Source organism: Homo sapiens, chromosome 9, assembly GCF_000001405.40.
Source record: "Homo sapiens chromosome 9, GRCh38.p14 Primary Assembly".
Lineage (NCBI taxonomy): Eukaryota > Metazoa > Chordata > Mammalia > Primates > Hominidae > Homo > Homo sapiens.
Genome location: NC_000009.12, coordinates 123,344,385 through 123,354,017, shown reverse-complemented (window position 1 = coordinate 123,354,017; position 9,633 = coordinate 123,344,385). Strand labels below are relative to the sequence as shown.

Below are 9,633 nucleotides of genomic sequence, written 5' to 3'. Positions count from 1 at the left end.
CCAGGTGCATCCACTTCCCCTGTCCTCCCCACCTGGGAAGGGAATCGACATAACCTCAGTTTACCCCCCCCCCACCCACCAGCAGCACTGCAAAGTCAGCATTGGCCCCATTCTATGGATGAGGAAACCGAGGCACAGAGAGGTGAGCAGCCCAGCACCAGTGCCTGGCAGGATTCGAGTTGGGTCTGCCCGACTCCAGCCTTTCCACTGGTGAACCTCCGACTGCAGGTTACTAACTGCCCCTCCACTAGCCTGAGCATGACTTGCTGCCACCTCCCTGGCTGAGGGGACGCTGTCCTGGGCCGGGATTCCCACCAACTCTCAAGCTGATGGGCACATGCGACAGCAAGGTTCAGTGGTTGGGAGTCCCAGCTTTGGCATCAGGCAGACCTGGGTTTGAATCCGGTTCCTGCTCTCTGCCCTTAGGTGAGCTTTTGTTGGTCTGTTCCTTTTCTGCGTCTTAGTTCTCCCATCTGTAAATGGGATCATCACAGCATCTGCCTGAGAACATTGCAAGGACTGGGCGGCTGCTGTCAGAGCCTCGTCGTGGGAGGATAGTGACCCTCCCCACTGAGGAGCCCACCAGAAGGAACCCCTTCAGACCCTTCCAGGTGACTCCTGCTCTGGATCATTCCCCAGGGTCTCACATCTCCCTTCTCAGGGTCTCACTGGTTGTTCTGTTTGTCCCTACTCCCCACCCAGAGCCGCCCTTGCCCTGCTGGCACCTGTGGGCTGTGTCATGCTGGCTTCCTTCCATCTGCTTCCTGGAAAGGTGAGCCAGTGGGAGGCACAGGCCGGAGATGCCAGGGAGAGAGGAGATGGAGGTTGGGGTGTTTCTTCCCCTCCTTCTCCCTACATTGGGTATTGGGGTGAGAGTGACTGCAGCTCCAGCTGAGGCCCCTTCGGCTCTCACGGCCCAGGTCCCCCTGCTCCCTCTGTGTCTGAGTCTGGGGCCACCATCAGCCCTGACCTCACTGGGTTTCTCTAAGGCCTTCTCCATTGTCACCCATGCCCTCCTTCTTGGAACTCTGTCCCTGTGGGCTCCCCAACCCCTGCTACCCTGGTCTCTCTACCTTGTTAACCGTTCCTCACTCCTCCTCCCAGAATGTTGTGACCTGTCCGGGTCTGTCTCCAGCCCCCTGCCCTCCTCACTCCACATTCCTCCCTGGACAAGCGTGTCCATGCCCCAGCTTCAGTGACCAGACCTCCACTCCCTCCCAGCCCAGCTCTCACAGGCTCTCCACCAGTGGCACTTAACCTTGTCTCAACATATGTATGCTTGTAACTTCCAAAAGAAAACCAACCCAATGCCCTAACTGAAACATCAGAGGCAGACACTATAGGCCAGTGGTGAGGTGCACAGATGCTGATTCAAATCCCGGCTTCTCCACTTCCCAGCAGCACTGCAAGGTCAGCACTGGCCCCATTCTATGGATGAGGAAACCAAGGCACAGAGAAGTGAGGTTGGCCCAGCACCAGTGCCTGGCAGGATTCGAGTTGGGTCTGCCCGACTCCAGCCTTGGGTAAGTCACCTCTCTGTGCCTCAGTTAGCTCCCTGGTAAAAAAAAGAGACAGCAACTGCACCTTACTGCATAGACTTGTCTTGAGGATTAAATAATTACTCATCAAGCATTTAGAAAAGTGTCTGGCAATGTCAAGAGTTAAATGAGTGTTGGTTAAATTAATACATAAAGGGCCGGGCGCTGTGTCTCATGCCTGTAATCCCAGCACTTTGGGAGCCGAGGTGGGCGGATCACCTGAGATCAGGAGTTCGAGACCAGCCTGGCCAACATGGCAAAACCCCGTCTCTACTAAAAATACAAAACTTATTCAGGCATGGTGGCGGGCACCTGTAATCCCAGCTACTCAGGAGGCTGAGGCAGGAGAATCGCTTGAACCCGGGAGGTGGAGGTTGCACTGAGCTGAGATTGTGCCACTGCCTTCCAGCCTGGGAGACAGAGTGAGACTCTGTCTCAGAAAAAAAAAAAAAAAAGAATACATAACGAAGGTAATTTAAGGTGATCCATTATTTCAAATTGTAAATGCTCCTGTTGAGTACACTATGCTAGCAGACACAATAAAGCAATGAGAAGTGTGTGCCTACACAGAACTCCACTGAAGGTGACAGCCACAGATGCACACCAATGTGGGGAAGGTCCCGTTGGCCGCTCAAATCCCATGAGAAGATCTGCCATGAAGTATGTAGTTTTTCAAAATGGTGGCGAATCTGGGTAAGGCTCCAAACAAGATAAGGCGCAATCTTCCTAAAATGTGCATGGAAGGCATAGTTCTGGCAAATCAGTCTTCGCTAAAAACCACGCAAAGATGCTCTCCGTTTCTATGCAAGCCAGACATGTGCTCTAATCTTAGACAATTACAGACAGGTGTTTTCCCTCTGCACGCGTGCCTGGTGGGAAATGCAAAATCAAATGGCACATGGGCCAACCCTTCATGATGTGGACTGTTCCCAACATCACAGGGTGTTTGGCATCCCAGGCCCCATCCACTAACTCACAGTAGTACCCCCCAGTCATCATGATAACTGAAAGCACCCCACAAATGCCCAAAACGATGCCCAGGAGGCCCCTGGGTTCTACACCAATTGCCAGAGGGATTTTTTTCAAATCTCAACTGTGTCTCTTGCCTGGTGACCCCCAGTTGCACGAAGGCCAAGTCTAAATTCCTGAGACTCATGCCCAGAACGCTTCATAACTCAGTCCCTGGCACAAACACAGATCAATATCCTCAGCCCCCAGCTCCTCTGCCCACCTCTCTACCGTTCAGCGTCTCTCCCTCTGCCCCTACTAAAATCTCTCTCTCTCTCTCTCACACATACACACACACATGCACACACACCCCTGGGCCAGTGGCCAGGTTTTGCCCACAAGTCTTTGATGCCAGGGTCTGCTCCCTGGAATGCCCACCCCGCCCCCACCTGACTGAGTGCCTCTTGACACTGCACTGATCCTTGAAGACTCCAACTCTGGCATCATCTCCTCAGAGAAGACTTCTCTGCTCCTCCCCCAACCCCCAGGCTTCGTCGGGGCCTCTTCTAGGCTCCGACAGACCCCTGGGCTTCCCGTAAGGCCCCCAGCACTGATCCTGCCCTGTTCTCCTCACCAGTGTAGGCATCCGTACCCATCCTAAGGCAGGCATGTGGTAGGATGATGAATACACAGATGAGACTCACTCAGCCCTCACCACTGGGGAGCTCATGTCTAGAGGAACAGACTCAAGGACAAGGCAGAGAGGGGCTGGCTTAGAGCCCAGTGGGAAGCCCAAGAGAAGGCCAGCTGCAAAAGGGCAATTCCCCAGGGGAGGTACCACCATGGAGTAAGAACAGGAGTTTCCAAGTGGAGAAGAGGCAGAAGGCATACCTGGCTGAAAACCAAGGATGGTCCAAGGTCAGGTGTGAGAGAGGGCATTGTACCTTCAGGAACTGCAGACAGGTCATTATTACCCGGGGTCAGGATGCAAAATGGCAATGATTAGAAGTGAGGCTGGTGGGTCGGCAGAGGACAGATGGCACAGTCTTTGTAAGGTGCTAAGGATTTGGACTGTGTCCTGAGGGCACTGGGGAGCCATAGAAGAGGTGAAAGAAGGGGAACGACGTGGCCAGGTTTGCATGTGGCAGAGTTCCCTCTGGGAAGAGTGAAAGCTGCACTGAAGGAGTGCATGCGTTGAAATCACCCAGGGAAAGGCCACGAAGCTTGAATCAGGACGGGGTTGGGTGGAGTCACAGAGAGCAGGAGTGGGCATTTGGGCATCAGGAACAATAGAATTTGGTGTCCGCTGGGGTTGAAACAAGGGAAATAGCCCTAGTGTATCCCCAGGATCTCAGCTTGGTGAACCCCCAGGAGTGAGGGTAGAGACTGGGGGCTGGCAAAACAGCTTGGGGAGGGTGGCCAGGACAAACAACCCCCAGTCCTCCCCTGGATGAAGGTTAGACTGTAGGCCCCTTTTCAGACACTAGAGGGAGCTCCAGGATAGGCCCAGGCTCCCCTCTCCAACCAGCTTAGCTTCCACCCGCTCTGGGAGGGGGATAGAACCCAGCTCACCGTTCAGATGTAGGTCCTGGGGGTCCTATCGGAGCCTCGCCCAAGTCCAGTGGCCTCACTGTCTCTGGGCCACCTCCTCCTTCAGGCACCGAATTGGCAGTGGAGAGGGGTCTTTTTGAGGCGGGAGCAGGCGGAGGCAGACTTTAGGAACTGCAGACAAGTACAGCCAGGCTGGGCCCTTCTAACCCTGTTCCCGCCCCCTGCCCCTACGGGAGAAGGGGAGTGACTCACCCAAGGTCGCATGGACAGAGCACCCCAGGTGGGATGGAATGGACTCTTGAGCGGAAAGAGCACAGCAGCCCTTCCAAACCCCTTCCTGAGCCTTCCTACAAAAACCGAGGTAAGGGGGGATTCCCGTGAGCCACCCCCCGCCCCAGAATCCTGGGACACCTTTACCCCGCAGGAATGTTCTGGGGTTGGGATTAACAGCAGCTTCGTGGGTGGGGCCCGAGCGTGAATGGCTGCCACATTTTTTAAAATTTATTTTTCTTTTATTTAGAAACAGGGTCTCTGCTGCCACCCAAGCTGGAATGCGGTGGCATGATCTTGGCTCACTGCAGGTTCAACTTCCCAGGCTCAAGGGATCCTCCTGCCTCAGCCTCCCAGGCAGTTGGGACTACAGGTGTGTGCCACCATGCCCAGCTAATTTTTTCATTTTTATTTTTTTAGAGATGGGGTCTTGCTGTGTTGTCCAGGTCAGTCTCAAACCCCTGGATTCAAGTGATCCTCCTACCTTGGCCTCCCAGTGTTGGGATTACAGGAAGGGGCCACCACCCTCGGACTGGCTGCCATATTTCAATGGTGTTCTGTACTTTCTGGAGATGCACCTATTTTGCTGTGATGCTGAGGTACAGGGGGATAGGACCTTCTGGGGTCACCCAGAGAACCGTGGCAGAGCTAAGGCTCAAACTGAGACCTCTAACTCCCAGCCCAGGACTCTCCCCAGCAATGATTTCATGGAAGGGGTTAAACTCGGTCTGTGTCTGGAGTCAAAGCTAAATGTCTCAGGTCAGGACTCAGTCTGCAGCTGAAGTCAGGGCTTAGTCTGAGTCCAGGATCAGGGCTCAGTCAGCCCAGGGTCAGGGCTCAGGACAGTTTGAAGCTGGAGGCAGTTGCTTCTGATGGAGATGCCATCTGAGTCCTCACCCTGGGTTCGGGTCTTCCGGCCACTGAAGCTAAAGCTGGACAGGACATCATCCATTCATTCATAATGCATTAATTCACTCGCCAAGTGTTTATTAAACACCTCCTGTGTGCTGGGCAACATGGTAGGTGCTGAGATTACTAGGGAGAACCAGATTGCCCGTCCTTGGGGAGCTCACAGTCAGACCTGATCCTCCTCAGAGCATCCAGAGGGGGAAGGATGGAGAGGAGTTAGCCAGAGGAAATGAGGGGAGAGATGGGAGTCAGGAGAGCAGCATTCCAGGACAAGGGAATATCCCTGGACAGAGGCTGGAGGCAGGGGAGGCTGGCAGAGACACGGATAGAAGGGGACAGAGGGTGGCAAGGCTGCGGTGCAGAGAGCAGGGAGGCAGCTGGAGAGGAGGGGGCCACTGGGAGTCCACGGCCACCAGAGAGGAGGGGATCCTGGGAAGAATCTCCGCAGGGCAGTGTCATGGCAGCTTGGCATTTGGGAAGGATCACCCCAGCTGCAGAGCAGGGAGTGACAGGATGACAATTTTAGGGAAAGTGACTGGCATCTCTACTTGTCTAAATGGCACAGTCTTTTAACATTTTATGAAAACAAGAAATGAATAACAAACGGAGACACCGAAACAGGAAACCCTTTTCCTATTAAATCTGATGGAAAGAGCAAGCCCAAGCCCAAATCCTGCCAAAAGGATTTTACAACCTGCAAGGAGACATGCCCGCGACGTGGCAGAGCTCCCCGGAAGCTGCCTTCTCTGTGCGGCTGAGCACCCCGAAATGCAGTCCCCCTTGAACAACATGGCGCTCACTGCCCAGACAGGGAAACCGAGGCTTGATAGGGGCAGGGGCTGACCCACGTCACATGCCAAAGTTGGAACAAAGACTCCTGATCTTCATGCTTGGACCTCTCTCTGTACACGTCATGCCCGTCCACACCCCCACACGTCACACACATACATCACAACGCACACACACTACATGCATACAACCCCACACATCACACGCCACACACACAACACACACACCTGCACATATCACACACACCCACGCACGCATCACACACCCACATACATCACAACACACACTACACATATATAACCCCCAGACATCACACACCACACAAACACACACACATTTCACATCCACATACATCACAACACATACAACCCCCACACTTCACACACACCATACACATAACACACAACACACACCTGCAGACATCACACACCATACACCTGTACACAACACACACACATCACACAACACACACATCATATACACATACCCACACACACCACACACTCATACACCAACACATACATAATATGCAACACACACTCCCACACATATCACACAACACACACATCATACACAACATACATTACATACATCACTACACAACATACAACCCACACACCACACCCTCCACACACATCACACACACACACCAGCATACACATAACACACATACTACACATATGCAACCCACACACATCACACACAATATACACCTGCACACATAACACACCCACACAGGTGCATCACACACCACACACCTGCACACATCACAACACACACACCACACACCCTCATACACACACCAACACACACATCAACACACTACAAACAACCCACACACAGCATACACTACACACCTGCACACATCACAACCCCCACACATCACACAGTGTACACATACATCACAACACATACATCACACACAATACCCACACATCACACACCACCTATACACACCACACAACCCCCACACATCACACACCATATATATCGCATAAGCACACACATCACATGCCACACACATTCATCACATGCCACACACATCACAGCATGCACACACACACACATATCATAACCCCTACACATCACAGACCACATACACACCATACACACAGCACTCCACACCTTACAAACCACACATATGACACATACACCCCCACAGACATCCGACATCACACACGCATCACGTAGCGCGCGCGCGCACACACACACACACACACACGCGCGCGCACACACCCTCCCACATGCCGGAAATGCTCTCCAAATTCAGATACGCAAATATCTGTATACATACAAGATTCTACAAACACACATAGACTGGCTAACACAGACATGCACTAGTCTGGATAGACGTGTGTGTACATCCACACAATGCCCCCCAGAGCACCCAAATACACACAAACATATTCACATCCACACACACACACACGCACACACCTATCCCAACACTCGAAATCGAAATACCCAGATACAGAACCCTCACAGAACACACCCCCCACACAAATGCAAATATGTGCAGAGATACACAACACACCTACAAGATTCAAAAATATCCTCAGTACACATCTACAAACACACCAGTCCCACATCCACAGACACACAGACCCCTATGCAATCATAAAAGCCCAAACACCTGTGTACCCAGCGCACTGCACAGCCCGGGAGGCCCGCCAGCAGCCGGTGGACAGGGCAGAGCTGCCGTGTCCCTGTGCTCACATCCAGGGACAGGCCTGGAGACCCCGCCACCCTCTGCAAGGGTCTGGCAAAGTGCCACCTCCTGTGGGAGGCCAAGGACACCTGGCCCCTCAGAAGTGCCTGGGTCGATTTCACAGCCACGTGCCAGGCAGCCTGGCTCAGGGGCCACACTGACCTCACCCTGGACAGGAGCGTGTGAGCATGTGTTCCAGTGTATGTTTTACTGGGTGGGGGGGTGTGTGGGGAGCTATGGCAGGAGCAGCATAAAGATGACAAGAGACAGTTTACCTACTATATCAGCCTGCTTACCTCCCTCCCTTGCTCCCTCCTTCCCTTCCTGCCTCTCTCCCTCTCTTCCTTCCTTCCTCTGCTATTCAATAAGGACCTTTAGTGAATCCGGCAAAACCAAGACACAGCCTCTGCCTTCCAGGAGTGCAGTCTTGGCGTAAGCAGACATGCCTGGGGTTGAGCTGTTATAAGACACATTGTGATCATTGCTAGGAGGCCTCAGGGAGGCCTGGCTTTCATCTGGGGCTGTGGGACATTGAACGATTCACGTCCTTCTCTGAGCCTCAGCTTCCTCAGCTGAGAGAGACCACATGCTCCCTGACCACCTGTCGGGTTTGTTAATAGAATCAAATGTCATGATGAAAGTGGCAATGCTTAGCGGGGACAGGGACATTTTTCTTAAAATAAGAGCCAGGTCTGTGCTAGGCTGTGCATCAGATCTGTGATATGGGAATGTGGTTAACTGCATGGGCCCTGCAGTCAGGGAGTCTTGGCTGGGTTCAGATCCCTGCTTTGCCAGGACTAGCTGTCTGAGCTCCAGCTTGAGCTTCTATTTTCTCATCTCTAATATAGATGCAATAATAATAATATCCAATTTACATGAGTGCTATGAGATAACGCATGTTAAGCTCTTAGAACAGGGCCTGCCGGCCAGGCGCCATGGCTCACGCCTGTAATCCCAGCACTTTGGGAGCCCGAGGCGGGTGGATCACGAGGTCAGGAGATCGAGATCATCCTGGCTAACACGGTCTCTACTAAAAATACAAAAAATTAGCCAGGCGTGGTGGCGGGTGCCTGTAGTCCCAGCTACTCGGAAGGCTGAGGCAACAGCGTGAACCCTGGAGGCAGAGTTTGCAGTGAGCCGAGATTACACCACCGCACTCCAGCCTTGGCGTCAGAGCGAGACTCCGTCTCAAAAAAAAAAAAAAAAAAGAACTGGGCCTGTCACAAAGTACATGCTCAATTAAGCTCCTATTCTATATAGGCTGTCATGTATTCATACAACAAACACTGAGCACTTACTATGAACCAGGCATGATTCTAAGTGCTCTCCAAATTCTAACTCATTCAATCCTTTTAACAACTCTATTATTATCCCCTTTTTGCAACAAAGAAAACTGAGGCACAGAGAGGTCCAGTCACTTATTCAAGGTCACACAGCTGGTAGAAGGCAGACCTGGACTGAAACCCAGGTCTGTGGGACTCTCTGAATCTATCTACAAGGTATGTACTTCCCTTTTATAGTTCAAAATCCTCCTCCCCTCTCCCCAGCAGCAGCCCCTGTTAAATAAATCATCCAGTAACGGTTTCTAATTCCCAGACTTGGTTGCAAATGAATTATTCACATGGTAAGGCCTGCAAACTGCCGGCTGGGCCTCATTACCCAAGAAAGGCTGCCCGCCCGCAAGATGCTGCTCCCTCCCCTGGGCATGGGTCCTGGCAGGTTGGCCAGAGGTGGCCAGAGTTGGTGGGCCCCGCTCCAGTGCCCTGCTCCGGGAACTGGGAAGAGCAGCTCTTTTCCTTTCCCCCGGCCCTTGCTTTCTAATAAGCTCACAGTCTGATGTGGCTGAGAGACCATAAGCTCTGGACTCAGCCAGTCCTGGGTTCCAATCCTGGCTCTGCCCTTAGCAGCTGTGTGACCTTA

At 52.7% G+C, this 9,633-nt stretch overlaps 2 annotated features.

The window, feature by feature from the left end:
- Positions 3,791-4,290: an enhancer, noted in NCBI's record as "H3K4me1 hESC enhancer chr9:126112007-126112506 (GRCh37/hg19 assembly coordinates)". NCBI's record gives its function as "activates a minimal SCP1, AML or CMV promoter by ChIP-STARR-seq in primed H9 embryonic stem cells {active_cell/tissue: H9 hESC(primed)}" and the evidence as "EXISTENCE:reporter gene assay evidence [ECO:0000049][PMID:30033119]".
- Positions 4,291-4,792: an enhancer, noted in NCBI's record as "H3K4me1 hESC enhancer chr9:126111505-126112006 (GRCh37/hg19 assembly coordinates)". NCBI's record gives its function as "activates a minimal SCP1, AML or CMV promoter by ChIP-STARR-seq in naive H9 embryonic stem cells {active_cell/tissue: H9 hESC(naive)}" and the evidence as "EXISTENCE:reporter gene assay evidence [ECO:0000049][PMID:30033119]".